The 17,404-nt window shown below is 35.8% G+C and overlaps 1 protein-coding gene across 24 annotated transcripts in view; it reads left to right on the forward strand.

Annotated features, from left to right (window-relative positions):
- Positions 1-16,012, forward strand: part of DPP10 (dipeptidyl peptidase like 10) — a 1,403,140-nt gene extending 1,387,128 nt beyond the window's left edge. For 22 of the 24 annotated variants that reach the window (NM_001321910.3, NM_001399849.1, NM_020868.6 and 19 more), the window contains 5 exons: positions 6,389-6,488; positions 6,739-6,797; positions 6,906-6,978; positions 10,982-11,055; positions 12,443-16,012. In NM_001321910.3, the coding sequence (NP_001308839.2) occupies positions 6,389-6,488; positions 6,739-6,797; positions 6,906-6,978; positions 10,982-11,055; positions 12,443-12,577 (441 nt within the window). In that variant the 3' untranslated portion in view covers positions 12,578-16,012. 24 annotated transcript variants of the gene reach the window in all.
- The last annotated feature ends 1,392 nt before the right edge of the window (positions 16,013-17,404 follow it).

A 17,404-nucleotide genomic window follows, 5' to 3' on the forward strand; every position in this document is an offset into this window, starting at 1 on the left:
TTTATTGTAAATTGTGTCATTTTCTCAGTGTTATTTTCTAACTAGCTTGTTGGGATAATGGAAAGGTTATGATAATAGCATATGTAGCTTTTAGCTGGCCACTGTTTATTACTTATTAATTATGGATATGACTTGATTGAAGACATTAAGCAACTTTAGTTTGAATAATTATCCTCAGGACCTAACCTCATTTAATATATAATAATTTTAATTTTTTTTAAGAATTATGTGTAAGTGCTAAATATAAAACAAAACTCCTAGAAGCAAAATTTTATGGACATAGCTTCTTTAAAAACATTAATCACAGCCGGGAGCAGTGGCTCATGCGTGTAATCCCAGCACTTTGGGAGGCCAAGGTGGGTGGATCACCTGAGGTCAGGAGTTCGAGAACAGCCTGGCCAACATGGTGAAACCCCGTCTCTGCTAAAAAAGTACAAAAATTGGCTGGGTGTGGTGGCGAGTGTCTGTAATCCCAGCTACTCAGGAGGCTGAAGCAGGAGAATCGCTTGAACCCAGTAGGTGGAGTTTGCAGTGAGCCCAATTCCCACCACTGCACTCCAGCCTGGGCAACAAGAGAAAAATTCTGTCTCAAAAAAAAAAAAAAAAAAAATTATCACAAGAACTGAAATTAAGTTTAGTTGTCTTATAAACATTTTTTTTTAGAACAGATATCACTGTGATTACCAGGCCAAAAAAAGATTAATTCATCCAACAAACATTATTGAATGTACACTATGTGCCCAGCACTTTTTTTGAAGTGTTGGAAATACAGTGGTCAAAGAGTAGAAGAAAAGTCTTTCTTTACTGAATTTAGTTCAGTAAGGAGAGCTATATGGAAAACATGTAAACTAAACATAATTGGTGAAATACATAAAATGTCAGATGGTGAGAGTTTGATTCCAAAAAGTAAAGAAGAGAAATAAATAAGGATGCCAGGATTAGAGTGAATGTGGCCAATTTAGATTGGAGGTAAGGAAAGGTATCACTAGGAGATCATGTTTGAACTAAGAGAAGGCAATGTAAGGAGATAAGAACTATGGATATCTGGGGAAAATAAAACAAACTTAAAAATGTAAATGAATATGAAAGCTTCTTAAAACTTTACTTAGGGAGGTAATTATTTGTTATGTAAAGTTTTGTATCTTTTCAATTGAGGGAGGGCCTCTCAGTGTTTGAGTCCAGCTTGAGTCACTTCTAAGGTTTAAAGCTTCAGTATACATTATCTGCAGAATTAAGATCCTGCCTCCTTGAGGCAGGATTAAGATTCTGCTTCAAGGCAGGATTATAGGTATTGTGATAAAATGTGAGTGATTATGTTAAGCGAATTAATAGTTTTAATGCAAAATAATAGAGTGTAATAAAATTTATCTTGTATTTATAAAATTCTTTATTTCCAATTAATTCATTGTGTACCACAAGTGAAATGGTTCAGAAAGAATTACACAAGTTTAAATTCGCACAGATCACTTCTTTCTTTCTTTCTTTCTTTCTTTATTTTGAGACGGAGTCTTACTCAGTCGCCCAGGCTGGAGTGCAGTGGCGCGATTTCAGCTCACTGCAACCTCTGCCTCCTGGGTTCAAGCAATTCTCCTGCCTCAGCCTCCTGAGTAGCTGGGATTAGCCACCACACCTGACTAATTTTTGTATTTTTAGTAGAGATAGGGTTTCACCATGCTGGTCAGGCTGGTCTCCAACTCCTTACCTTGTGATCCGCTGGCCTCGGCCTCCCAAAGTGCTGGGATTACAGGCTTGAGCCACCATGTCCGGCCCAAATAACCTCTTGTAAAATCCCAGTCTGTCAGTGTATCCCTTTTACTATATTCATAAAGTCATTTAAAGATGATCTGAAAACCTGGGGCCACAGCAAACATAAATTTTGAGTAAATGGCATTGCAGATCCCACCTCTGCTTCTCCAAGTCCTTCTATCTATTGAATTTAGTTTCCTACATCATGAGTATATTTCTTTTAAGAAGGAAAATTCTAAGGAAACATTCCTATATTTTAGGCTTACTAAATTAAATTTAAAAATAACATAAACTTGTTAAACTTTTGTAAGTAATGCTAAAATGCTTGGCAAATGGGAATGACAAAACAATTTTAATGAATAGCAAAATCCGATCACGGGAAGACCAATAAAATGCACAATGAAAACAGAGCAGCCTACACTGATGATGGAAGTTTTTGATCTTTATTAAATCAAAAGTAGCCTCTAATTTACTACAGACGATATGGTGATTCCCATTTTTTAATCTACCTGATGATATGCATTGTTTTGAAAGTTGAAAGCGTTCTTATATCTACCTAGAACTTATATCTTATTTTTGCCCTCCTCTGAAGTAAATTTTCCAAAAACTCTTTTGTGATATACTATTGCATTCTGTAAATACATATAAAACAGGTGAGAGGAAGGCGAGCCATTAAAATTTAACTTATTTTCATCTGGGGCTGGTGGGGCACACCTGTAATCCCAGTTCTTTGGGAGGCCAAGGCGAGTGGATCACTTGAGCCTAGGAGTTCAAGACCAGCCTGGGCAGCCATGGCAAAACCTATCTGTACAAATAAATACAAAAATTAGCTGGGCACGGTGGCACGCACCTGTGGTCCCAGCTACTCAGGAGGCGGAAGTGGGAGGTCTGCTTAAGCCTGGGAGGCAGCGGTTGCGATGAGCAGAGATTGTGCCATGTACTTCAGCCTGGGTGACAGAGTGAGACCATGTCTAAAATAAATAAAATTATTCTAATTTTTGCCAGTGTCGATTTTTGTTTAAAAATCAATTAAAGAAGCATTTGTGGTTCAATTTTAAATGCTATAAATAGAATTTTATTCAACAGCTTTTATTATCATAAAGACTTAGAAAATATTTGGCTTCATTAAATGCCAAATTTTCATATTTACAAAAATAGTAAAATATAACTCCTTGTATAGCAGCAATAATTTACATTCCTGGTTTTACTGAAGAATCACATGGGGAGATCCATCAGGTGCCCATTCTCCACAGATTGTGATTGAATGTGGGTCGGGGAGAGCACTGGCACTTTTTTTTTTTAAAGCTTCACTCATCTAGGGAACATCGGCTGGGACTAAGAAGATGTTTCCGGTAGGCACCTTTATTATACAATTATGCAGTAATAACTTGTTGTATATAATGTAGATCAGCAGCATAGAGGTCCCCTGAGAGTTTATTAAAAATGCACAATCTTAGGTCCCACCCCAGGTCTACTGAATTTGAATCTGTATGCTGACAACACTCTCAAGTGATTTGAATTAAGTTAGAAGTTAAGAAGCATTGTTGTGGGATCTACCCCTCCTTTGGAAGGCACTATTCCTGATTCCTAGAGATAATCAGGCTATGAGAGACATGTGAAACTGAGATAAATAAAATAAAACAAACCAACAAAAACATATAATGTCATCTTATATATATTATTTAAATGTAACATAAGCTTTTATGGACTGGAATATTCATTATTCTATCAATGTTTTCAGGTTATATAAACAAACATCATAATCAGCTGAAAGTTTGCTTGGCCATCATGGTATTGTTAATAGAACCAGAAAAGTTGCATGCATCAGCTAAGATGTGTGATGCATTCCTCACTATGGGAAGAGTCTTGCCTACGGGAAATACTTGAAATCTCTTGGCTGCAACACCCTTCGCCCATCTTTATGACAGAGAACTAGGAACAATATACTGGAAATGCTCCCTCTAGGGACAACACTTTCAAGAGCTGTTTCCACTTTTGCTTTATGATACAGGTTCAACGTACCTAATCTGAAAATCCGAAATTTGAAATGCTCCAAATCCAAAATGTTTTGAGCACCGACATCATAATGCCACGCATGGAAAATTCTACACCTGACCCTATGTGATGGGTCACAGTCAAAAATGCCATTAAAACTGTTTCATGAACAAAATTACTAAAAATATTCTATACAATTACTGTCAGGCTGTGTGTATAAGGTATATTAAAGCATATATGAATTTCATGTTTAGACTTAAGTTTTCATCCCTGAGATAACACATTATGTGTAGGTAAATATCCCTAAATTTTAAAAGAATCCAAAAATCGGAAACTTCTGACCCCAAGCATTTCAGATAAGGGATATTCAGCCTTTAGCTATTTACTTTCTTGCTTTGCATAGCTTACCCCACCTTCTTATTTTTCTTTCTTAGGTAGGTTAATACATTTACCTACCTAAGGGAAAATTTAAAATGGGCTACTTCCAGATTTTGCTGGCCTAAGACTGTCTCTCTCAATGAGAATGAGCAAAGGCACTTTGAAGTAGCTTATATCTATATAGGATAATTTTCTTTCCTTCAGTTACTAATCGTTAAAGCTTTGCTCAAGCTTCTGAGTACTATCTAAATATTCCAGTACCAGAACAATATATGCTATCTCAGTCCATTCAGTAATGAATGACTGCATTTTGAACTTTTATGTACCAATTTTTAAATGATGCTCCAAATACACATAAATGAAATTCTTTATTTCTTACTTCAAGAGTTTAGTGACAATGACAATAAAACTATAACCTGGACCACACTTGAGTCATCTGAAAATCTTTCAAAAGTAGACTTCATCATGAACAAACTGCATCAGAATTTCTGAGATTGAGGCCTGAATGTTAATATTTTTTAATACCTCCCAAGATGTTCTGATTTCCAGTAGCATAAAGAACATTACTGAGAGTAGGGCTGAAAATTAATTTCTAAAACAGATAGCTCAGTAGGTCATTTTTTTTTTTCAGCATTACTGTAATTATTAAAATCTCCTCTGGAACTTTTCTAGTCAGATCTTGGTCTACAAAAGAAAACTGGACATCTTGGCTTATTAAAAAACATTTCAAGAGGGTATTCAAAATTAAACTTAAACAATAATTTAACTCATCTATCTGGGAACATTATTCATTATATCCCATTGCTTTCCAAAACTTAGTTGTGTGGAATATAGAGAAGACAATTTTCTCCTTTACTCTTCATGAGTTTTTAGCTAAGATTCCCTGCAACAAAAGGCAGATTAACAGGAGAAAAACAAGCCGGGCGCGGTGGCTCACGCCTGTAATCCCAGCACTTTGGGAGGCCGAGGCGGGTAGATCACGAGGTCAGGAGATCGAGACCATCCTGGCTAACACGGTGAAACCCGTCTCTACTAAAAATACAAAAAAAATTAGCCGGGCTGGTGGCGGGCGCCTGTGGTCCCAGCTGCTCGGGAGGCTGAGGCAGGAGAATGGCGTGAACCCGGGGGGCGGAGCTTGCAGTGAGCCCAGGGGGCGGAGTTTGCAGTGAACCCAGGGGGCGGAGCTTGAAGTGAGCCGAGATCGCACCACTGCACTCCAGCCTGGACCACAGAGCAAGACTCTGTCTAAAAAAAAAAAAGCAAGAGAAAAACAAACAGAAGCTTAATAACATAAATACCTCCTTTGTACATGGGATAGAAACAAGAAAAATGGGCAGATCTCTAGAGTAGATCTCAAAGAATTGTCTTATACCTCAGATGCAAACACTACCATTCTCTGAAACAAAGGCATAAGGATGTAGGAAAGGTTTTGTTAAGAAAGATGACCAGGAAAAGCAAAACACAAGCAAAGTTTGTCACGCATAGTGAAGTCGATTTCTTCTCCATTGATTGAGTCTTCGGTTATGTAGTTATTCTTCTCTTCCTGGTGCGGAAAGAGAGGGAGAGAAAGAGAGAGAGAGAGACCCTTGAAAACATCTATACATTTCCTTTATAGACATAAATTTATCTTACACAAGGGAAACTTCCAGCCTTGTTTCTAGTATTCTTCCTGTGTCTGCAGTTTCTCAAAATATCTAGCTCCAAATAATCCTAAGCCAGAGAGGCATATTTAGGGTGAAATAGTCTGAGTGCAGCCTTATTTTGGGGTGACATGTTCTGAACTCTATAAGAAATTAAAACAATCTAAATTTTTGGTGAGATATTTTCAAAATTTCATTATTTCTTAATTCTACATAATCATCATTATTTCAGTATTTTATTAAATTAGTGGAAAATTACATGTGATTTAATAAGTGCTTTATTTCCCTAACCTCAAATTATTTGGGGCAATTTCCAGATGTATAGTATGAAATCATGGAGCAATATTTGACATTTGGTGATGTAATTAATTTTATATTTTACTTAAGGCTTATTAAAACAGCTGTTATATAACAATTTAAACAAATGTTCAAAAATCTTAATTGTACAAAATGATTTTGGCTTTTTTCCCCCAAGCCTGAGACATTCTGATATGATGTACAGTACCAAACATTGATCAAAAGCTAAAAATGTCTCCAGGCATAGTTGTTATATATAAATTTGTGTGTGTGTATGTGTGTGTGTGTGTGTGAGATATATATATATATATATATATATTTTTCCCCCCCAGGGTTATGGTGGCTATATTGCATCAATGATCTTAAAATCAGATGAAAAGCTTTTTAAATGTGGATCCGTGGTTGCACCTATCACAGACTTGAAATTGTATGGTGAGTACTTTCTACAGACTGACCTAGTATAATGTATTGATTTGTAGAAAACGAAAGCCCAATTTAGAATAGCTCAATTGAGCTCATTTATCATATGTTATTAGAGCCTGTTTTCAGCTGTTTATCTCCTCCTTGATTCAGCTGATTTTACTAAAGCATGACAATTAAATGTAAAATGAAGAAATTAATGAAATATGCCAGTCAAATAGTTTTTAGTTTCTTCTCGAATGTCTGTTTTCTTGGGTCACAGCCTCAGCTTTCTCTGAAAGATACCTTGGGATGCCATCTAAGGAAGAAAGCACTTACCAGGTAACTAATTTGAAAATAACAAAGAAAGAGGAGTATTTTTGTTCTAAAAAATTAGTTAAATGGCTTATTTAGATCTATAGATACAGATATTTGTATTTTCCTTTATAGGCAGCCAGTGTGCTACATAATGTTCATGGCTTGAAAGAAGAAAATATATTAATAATTCATGGAACTGCTGACAGTAAGTATTATACTTGCCGCTGCTGTTTGATAGGGTATGACCTTTTACAAAGGGATACATCTAAGGACTTGCTTACAGGAAGCCCTGTAAACCTTCTGAAGAAGGGAGCAGAGAGTCACACAAAGAATCAGATACATGATAGAAGGTGGGAAAAAAGAATTCAGAGATAAGAGGAGAGGAGGCTATTCCTCAAATGGCAGCGTTGTCCAATCAAACTCCCTGTAATGATGGAAATACTTTATCAATGTTGCTGAAAAAGTAGCCACTGGCCACTTGTGGCCATACCTTGTTTAGTGTGACTGAGGAACTGAATTGATTTTATTTAATTTTAATTTAAAAAGGCACTTGTGTCTAGTGACTATGGTTACAGTGTTATTCAGCACACCTAAAATGGAAACCAACCTGGAAAACAGAAACCAAAAAGCTGCAAGCACTGACATGAAATTCTAATGAGGTTACCCGCTTAAATGAACTTAAAAACTTTAAAAAGGCACTTTCATATCATCTCTCATTTTTTCATCACTTTAAACCTTGGAGGTGGATGTGATTGATGTTAGTAGTAATAAATAATATCATTTTATATTTACATGACACTCTTAGGGACCAAAGAATCTATATTTTATTATCCTCTGTGATATTTTACAACAGACAGCTGAATATTTATAGCTTCATTCATGGATGAGAAAAATCAATTTCAAAAAGGAAACAGATTTATCCAAGGCCATCTGGCAAGTGAGACAAGAAAGTCAAAGTCTTGAATCAATATTTCCTAAATCTTGAACTTAACTTCTTCCTCTTTAGGGTGGGTTCCACTGAATGATTTGCTTCAAGGGTACTATATGGAAAAAGAGAGAAAGAGGAACTTTACAGTGGAGAAATTTGACAAACATCACATCAACAGTGACAAGTCATGTTATTACTGTTATTAAATGCCCTTGATATGATGTAGTGGGGATGGCACTTTACCTCCATGGTTTAGTACTCCAAGCCCATACATAACACCAGTCTAACCATGAGAAAACCATCAGGCAGATCCAAATGAGGAAAATTCTATCAGATATCCAGCCAGCACCCCTCAGAACTGTTGGGGTAATCAAAAAAAAAAAAAGTCTAAGAAACTCTCATAGACCAGAGGAAGTTTAAAAGACATGATGTCTAAATATAATGTGGGATTCTGAATGGAACCCTGGAACAGAAAGGGTACACAGGAAAACAACAATAAGAACACCAACAAGAAAAACTAGTGCACCCCAAATAAAGTGGGTTTAGTTAGTGGTAGTATATGAGTCTTAGTTTCTATTTGTGACAAAGTATATAATAATATAAGATGTTAACAATGGGGAAACTGGAGGACGGGTATCCAGGAACTCTGTACTATCTCTGCAACTGTTCTGAAAATGTAAAGCAATTATAGTATTAATAGTCTATTAAAGAAAGAGGTAGATGATACAGTACCAGTGTTGGGTGAAACATGATGAAAGAGAGCGTAAAAATTTTGAGGGACATTTGGATGTTGTTCTAAGGTATTAAGACCTTACATATATATCAACAGTAATAAAAATAAATAGCAATTATGTACTCATTGTATGTCAGAAAATGTGCTAAAAGCATTTAATATTATCTTATTTGTACTTCTTGCAAACACGGAATAGTAGATGTTATTACTTTCATTTAACAGATTGGGAAAATAAATATTAGGAAATGATATAACTTCCTTAAAAGAGTAGACACAATTGATTAGTAGGAAGGAGATTTGAATCCATGTATTGAGCCTTTTATTCACTGTGCCCTGAAGCCTTATTCATATGAATAAATTATATTCAAGGTTAAATTATTGTATGTCTACCCATCATGCTGGACTAATATATTAGTGCTATTTCAAATTTCTCTGTCAATATGTTGTAGCTATAAAGGTAAATCATTGTTCTATCTGACTCACTCAGTCACAGGCCTGGCGCTTCACCCATCTAATAAAATACAAGCAGAGGTTCAGCCCTGGTCCCTGGAGAGGAAATGCACCTGTGAATGTGTGTGAGCACACACACACATAGGCACACACACACAGGCACACACATACACATACCACACAACCCATACGGGCCTGGTGAATTATAGGTGCTCAGTCATGACACTGTAACACCACTACTATTAATATTATCTTCAAAAATTACCAGCAAATGAATTCAATCACCCAGTCAAACCTGTAATGTTCCCTTTTAGCTATAGTAAACAGACAAATAGCAACAAATATCAATGGACTTTGCATTAGAAACTAAGCAGAAAAAAAATCCAATTGGAAAAATCCTTTTGCACATTTATTTTCAGCTGTCTCCATGCAGACAAATAAGGGATCACATTACCTCTGTCATTGACCTTATTAATTAGCATTTCTAGAAGCTTACATTTATAGAGCAGTTTGTACTTATGTAGCAATGACAAGGTCATTTTCCCATTAAGTGCCATAGGAAGATGTTGAAAAAGATCTTGACTATCTAGTTTTTTAATAGGTTTAAATGATTGTTTGCCATTTTACATTCTCTGCTGTGTGGTCTGATTATTCAGCATTCTAGAGTTAGAGCATTAAAGAGGCTTAAACTATTGATAAGGCTGCCCTAATTTTGCAACGACAATTAAAAATGTTAGCTTAGGCTGGGCGCGGTGGCTCACACCTGTAGTCCCAGCACTTTGGGAGACCGAGGCAGGCAGCTCACGAGGTCAGGAGTTTGAGACCAGCCTGACCAACATGGTGAAACCCCGTCTCTACTAGAAATACAAAAATTAGCTGGGCATGGTGGTGCACGCCTATAATCCCAGCTACTCAGGAGGCTGAGGCAGGAGAACTGTTTGAACCTGGGAGGCAGAGGTTGCAGTGAGCCGAGATCGTACCACTGCACTCCAGCCTGGGCAACAGAGCAAGACTCCATCTCAAAAAAAAAAAAAAAAAAGGCAGCTTAAACATGAGTTACAGAAATCTGAAGATACACAAACTACAGGAATGAACACCCTAGACAGAATGTGAGCCAACTTCTGCAGAAAGAGATTTGAGTGACTGCACCAAATCTTCATAGCTACCAAACCCATGGCTATTGGGCTGCTTACTTCAGAATCTTGGATCTTAGGTTCTGGCAGAAGGAAGATAAAGCAAGAGTAACCAGTATGCTCTATATTAAATAGTTAGTCCTTGTATAATGAGATGTGTATTCTATTTTCTCAGTATGGGGTATTCTTTTCTAATTTTGAATAATAAAGCAGAATGCCAGTATCCAACTGAGACTGTGCCCTAGTAATCTTCAAAATGAAATAGATAGCTGGTTTCCTGTATTAATATCCAGAAAAGACATTTGCCATATTAAAATTTTTTATAAATTTTATAAAATTTATAAAAATATGTGTACCATTAGGAATAATAAATACTATCCAGTAAAGTAAATATAAACACCATTCTGTAGAGTAAGTAGGACTTAGTTGTAGCTACTGTTTTGCTTTTTTGTTTAATAGAGTGAAGCTCAAAGTTTTACCATTGTATTTGTATTTACCAGCTTTCTACCTAAAGCCAGATATAAGGTTTTTTGGTTTTTTTTTTTTTTTTTTTTTTGAGACGGAGTCTTGCTCTGTCGCCCAGGCTGGACTGTAGTGGCACGATCTCTGCTCACTGCAAGCTCCCCACTCCCGGGTTCACGCCATTCTCCTGCCTCAGCCTCTCGAGTAGCTGGGACTACAGGTGCCCGCCACCACACCGGCTAATTTTTTATATTTTTTAATGGAGATGGGATTTCACCGAGTTAGCCAGGATGGTCTCGATCTCCTGACCTTGTGATCGGCCCACCTCGGCCTCCCAAAGTGCTGAGATTACAGGCGTGAGCCACCGTGCCCAGCCAGATATAAGTCTTTTAAATGTGCAATGTATGTAAAATAAAACACTGAATCTCTTTGAAAAATAATATGAAAAAGTTCTCATACAAGCAGTGTGTTTCTTCAGATATCATAATTTGATTTCTTGCAGCAAAAGTTCATTTCCAACACTCAGCAGAATTAATCAAGCACCTAATAAAAGCTGGAGTGAATTATACTATGCAGGTAAGCTACTTTCTTAGAAGAACGTGTTTTCCTGCTGTGTTTTTTCACTTGTGAGATACGCAACACAGCTTCTCTATTATTCCATTCTCCCTACTATTATTTTTTAATATGTTTTTTAGTTACCAAAGATTGTGTTCTCTGTTCCTGATTACACCGAGAATGTGGATGAACTCATGCTTTACAAGTGAATTGCATGAATCCTTTCTAAATTGTCATTTTCCTCTCAGACTTATTCATATCCCAAATATTGAATTCTTTTAAAAGTAACAAGTTTCTACTTCCCTTCTTGTTCCTTTTATCTTTTCTTCCTTTTGTTGTTCCTTTCTTCCTTTTCTTGTTCCTTTTGTCTTGTTCCTTTGTCTTTATTATTAAATATGAGAGTTTATTATTAATTTATTTTTAAATATGATAATTTATAATTCTCATAATAAATAGTGGATAAAAAATGTTTGGGGAAATATTACAAGAAAAGAAGAGAGGATAAAAGGCCATTTGCACTACCATTTATGTCTGTGCATTCATACATTTAATATATATTTATCAAGGACATTACAGTGGTCACTCTGCTCTATGAGTAACAAGACATACATTACACTGTCAAGGAGGTTCCAGTCTGATATAAGAGTCATAGAAGGAAAAAGTAAAGTCATTTAAATTTCTCAGCATTCAGAAGAACCAAAAGTTGCTCAACCTGTCTAAAACACAAACTACCACGTTTAGGATAATGAAATATGAAGCTATACAGATAAACAAATGTCAGGTCATTCCATAAGCAATGTTGAGGAGTATGGAGTTTTATTCAAAGGGCAATGAGGCGCCATTTAAACCTTTGTACTCAGGAATTAATGGGATAATATTTGTATTTTTTATTTGTATTTTAGAAACAGTAACAATTTTGTTTACATTGGAAAGGGAATTGTCAAAGTAAATAATTGCACCAGACAATGTTAAAGAGGCAAGGAAGACCTTATGAAAAACTACTGCAAAGGAGACAAAGACTGAACTCAATGCTCTTTAAATAAAGAGCTGGAAAGTTTTCTAAACTAAATACTCCTAAAAAGGGGAGGAGAGGCCAAGGGCCTTTAGTCAAAAAGAAACTGTCCAAAGTTTAGTCAAGCTGAGGGCAAGGTTAGTCCATCTCAGTCAACATAAACATGAAAAAGTCTACCTTTTATGGCCAACATATTCTAATTTAAATACCAAATATTAATTGACATGATTACAATTGTTTTAAAAGTTTAGCATGAATAACTTAGAGTAGAATTAGGTTTGATTTTGGTCAGATATTATTACTCAAAGTTTCCATGACGTTAGGGCTCAGAAAATGAATGCGAGAGACAATAGCTTCTTGGATAATTTGAAATCTTCTTTCTCCTCAATATCTTAGGTCTACCCAGATGAAGGTCATAACGTATCTGAGAAGAGCAAGTATCATCTCTACAGCACAATCCTCAAATTCTTCAGTGATTGTTTGAAGGAAGAAATATCTGTGCTACCACAGGAACCAGAAGAAGATGAATAATGGACTGTATTTATACAGAACTGAAGGGAATATTGAGGCTCAATGAAACCTGACAAAGAGACTGTAATATTGTAGTTGCTCCAGAATGTCAAGGGCAGCTTACGGAGATGTCACTGGAGCAGCACGCTCAGAGACAGTGAACTAGCATTTGAATACACAAGTCCAAGTCTACTGTGTTGCTAGGGGTGCAGAACCCGTTTCTTTGTATGAGAGAGGTCAAAGGGTTGGTTTCCTGGGAGAAATTAGTTTTGCATTAAAGTAGGAGTAGTGCATGTTTTCTTCTGTTATCCCCCTGTTTGTTCTGTAACTAGTTGCTCTCATTTTAATTTCACTGGCCACCATCATCTTTGCATATAATGCACAATCTATCATCTGTCCTACAGTCCCTGATCTTTCATGGCTGAGCTGCAATCTAACACTTTACTGTACCTTTATAATAAGTGCAATTCTTTCATTGTCTATTATTATGCTTAAGAAAATATTCAGTTAATAAAAAACAGAGTATTTTATGTAATTTCTGTTTTTAAAAAGACATTATTAAATGGGTCAAAGGACATATAGAAATGTGGATTTCAGCACCTTCCAAAGTTCAGCCAGTTATCAGTAGATACAATATCTTTAAATGAACACACGAGTGTATGTCTCACAATATATATACACAAGTGTGCATATACAGTTAATGAAACTATCTTTAAATGTTATTCATGCTATAAAGAGTAAACGTTTGATGAATTAGAAGAGATGCTCTTTTCCAAGCTATAATGGATGCTTTGTTTAATGAGCCAAATATGATGAAACATTTTTTCCAATTCAAATTCTAGCTATTGCTTTCCTATAAATGTTTGGGTTGTGTTTGGTATTGTTTTTAGTGGTTAATAGTTTTCCAGTTGCATTTAATTTTTTGAATATGATACCTTGTCACATGTAAATTAGATACTTAAATATTAAATTATAGTTTCTGATAAAGAAATTTTGTTAACAATGCAATGCCACTGAGTGCTATTTTGCTCTTTTGGTGGAGAAGGCTTTTTTCAAAACTCTTGGTCCTTTTACTTCTTTCTCTCAGTGCAGAATCAATTCTCATTTTCATCGTAAAAGCAAATAGCTGGATTATTTCATTTGCCAGTTTCTATTTAGTATTCCATGCCTGCCCAATTCATCTGTTACTGTTTAATTTCAATTCTTCTGGTGAGAATTAGAAATGAAATATTTTTTATTCATTGGCCAAAAAGTTCACAGACAGCAGTGTTTGCTATTTACTTTGAATTGAAGGCACAAAATGCATCAATTCCTGTGCTGTGTTGACTTGCAGTAGTAAGTAACTGAGAGCATAAAATAAACCTGACTGTATGAAGTCAATTTAAGTGATGAGAACATTTAACTTTGGTGACTAAAGTCAGAATATCTTCTCACTTCACTTAAGGGATCTTCCAGAAGATATCTAAAAGTCTGTAATAAGCTTAGAAGTTCAGATAAATCTAGGCAGGATACTGCATTTTTGTGGTTTTAAAAAAGTCCTTAGGACAGACTGAATTATCATAACTTATGGCATCAGGAGGAAACTTTAAAATATCAAGGAATCACTCAGTCACCCTCCTGTTTTGTTGAAGGATCAACCCCAAATTCTGGGTATTTGAGTACATGTGAATCATGGATTTGGTATTCAACTTTTTCCCTGGATGCTTTGGAATCGTGTCTTCCATGCTCCACTGGGTTCAATTTAAAATAGGAGAGGCTTTCTCTTCTGAAAGATCCATTTTAGGTCTTTTTCAAGAATAGTGAACACATTTTTTAACAAAATAAGTTGTAATTTTAAAAGGAAAGTTTTGCCTATTTTATTAAGATGGAAATTTCTTTTTAGGCTAATTTGAAATCCAACTGAAGCTTTTTAACCAATATTTTAAATTTGAACCACTAGAGTTTTTTATGATGCAAATGATTATGTTGTCTGAAAGGTGTGGTTTTATTGAATGTCTATTTGAGTATCATTTAAAAAGTATTTGCCTTTTACTGTCATCATTTCTCTTGTTTTATTATTATTATCAATGTTTATCTATTTTTCAATTAATTTAATACAGTTTCTAATGTGAAAGACATTTTTCTGGAACCCGTTTTCCCCTTAAACACTAAAGAGACCTCAAGTGAAAGCATATTGCTTAGTAGGAAGGTAGAAAATGTTAATCCCTGCGATTCTTTGAGTTTTAATGACAGGGTCATTTTCAGTAAAGGAAATGCTCACCAACACATAGTCACCAACTATTAAAGGAATCATGTGATTGGATTTTCCCCTGTATACATGTACCCTTGGTCATAATCCCACTATTTCATACATATTTATGCATTGCTAGATTTTCCTAGGACTCCAATAGCATGCTTTCCAAGTGTTATTATTCCCTTAATGTTAAAGAAAAAAATCAATATATTGAATTCTTTAATTAAATAGGTAAGCAGTATTAAATCATCCACAGAGATAAACAATCTCTTGAAACTCTTTTGAAAGAGAAAAGTGTTTGTTCACTTTCATTGCCTTCATTAAGATCTCCAAATACTCAGAGACTAAGCAGGCTATTCTCATCTCTTTGAGTTTCCTGACAGAACTAAAGGAAGGAATCACTCTTCAAAAGATGGATCTCACTTCACTCTGAAAATGTGCCTTTTTTTAATTGGGTGTTTAGCATAAAAATCACTATTGGGGATCTTACAGATGTCTGTTGTAGATCTATTACAATGAGGTGACTTAGACATTGGGCTTTACCATATTAGAGAATTACTTAAGCCATTGTCCTTCAAATGTTGGGCTTGGAGACAGAAGTACCTTGGACTGAATTGCTTTCAAGTCTCTAGAATCACTGACAGCACATAGCTTCTATGAGGAGTTATATATGAAATACCACTTGTGTCCCTCCTCAAGTTCTCTGACCACCTTCACATCCTGCGGCCACCAACACTGTATGGATACAATCTGGCCTCTCAGCTCTGCTCACTTTCACTTTCTGTTCTGGGGATTCTCTGATACTAATTTTGGCTACTTGGTAGAACCAAGAGACAAATCGCTTACATGCTGCAAACCGATGTGAAGGTGTTACTAACCCGCTAAAACACAATTAATGAAAGACTGTAGCAGGTAACTGATCTTTCCCTCAGATATTCTACATGGTCCATGGAAGACTCTGTGGGCCGCAGAAGCCCATAGCTGCATACCCTTCTATTTTCCTCTTCCCCATTTCACTCTTTTAAGCTCCCTACTCCTATTCCCTATGATCACTTTCCAAAATAAACGGCAGGTGTGCTAGCTGTTGTCTTAGACTCTGCTTTCTGGAAACTATTTTTCCCCTCCACAAGAAATTATCACTGTGAATATTACAGGAGGAGAAATAAAATAAGAATAAATCAGTGGTTTATTTTCAGGTTCGAATAAACTCTTTCTAATGAAAATGTATTGGACTCTTACTAAGTGCCAAACCTATGATAAATGCTCTACATGCACTATCAAATTGAATCTTCTCAAAATGCCCTAAGGAGGTATTATGTTTCCCATTTTACAGATAAGGAAATTCAGTTTTAGAGAAGTATGTAGCTTGCCCACATTTATGTAAGTAGTAAGTAAAAACACTAAAACCCAGCACCAGCCAACTTAGAAGTTCATGTTCTTAGTGATTCTGCTCTCCAGCACTCCTGAAATAAGGAGAGTTAACCCATGTTGACAGCACATGAGAAAACATTCTGAATATTTAAACACATGGTTCCAAATATTTTTGAGAATAGTTTCATAGCAATAATACTGAAAAGTAATGGGCAAACTAATTTACCATTGTGGAATGTTTGAAGATACATGAATTCCCTAATGTCAAGAGGACATATGTAACATTAAAACATGTTTTCTTTCTCCGTTGAAGATACGTAAGAGTTATTCTTGTGCATGGAAACCCTTGCTCAGAAGACCATGACTATATGCTTGGAAGTCATTAGTAAATCTCCTTGCTTGGACATTATACCAAAAACACTGCAAAATCATTCAGAGATGCATCTATATACTGCAGAACCATTATATTGTTCAAAACACCCAGGCTTGTAAACATGAAAACCTCATGTAGTTCTCAAACCTTACAACACACACAAAGCATGTCACATTTCAAGTCATAGCAGACACCCACAATCCTATTTGCAATCTGACGCAGGAAAGTTGCATTACCTCCCACTTTTCTACTAGTGTAGAAATAGATTTGCTTTACCACTGATCAGATCTGCTAACAACACTTTTATTTCATTTAGCAATATTCCAGCAATTGTTGAGGAGAGATTCTGTGAATTCGAAAAAAATCCCTCTCTCATAAACAAGGCAGACAGGTTTTAAAAAGAAAATAAGTCACATCAAAGTACAATTTTTATTATTTCTCTTTTAGACTTCCAATTAAGCTTATGGTCGACTGATACAAGCATCACAGACTTCTAATAACAACAGTTGGGATAGTAAGAAAATTTCTGTGCCAATTCTCACAACCTGTCTATTTCTATCATACCTACCCCCGTTGTAACGAAGTTATTTTTGACATGTGTGAAGCTTGAGAATGCAGATTTCTATCCGGCCAGTTGCATCAGAGAAAAGGAACTCACATTTATTCTACACCTATGCTTTTTGTTACATAAGCTCAGCTAATCCTCAGTCCAGCCATATGAGATACATACTATTGTTCTCTGATAAAGAAATCAAGATTCAGAGAAATTAAACAATTTTCCAACAAAGCCACATAGTGCGTAAATGATGGAACCAATATTTGAAGTTAGACCCTGATGATCTCCAAGCCCTCACATGTGATGGTTTTATCC

This window comes from Homo sapiens, chromosome 2 (assembly GCF_000001405.40).
Source record: "Homo sapiens chromosome 2, GRCh38.p14 Primary Assembly".
NCBI classification, from domain to species: Eukaryota; Metazoa; Chordata; class Mammalia; order Primates; family Hominidae; genus Homo; species Homo sapiens.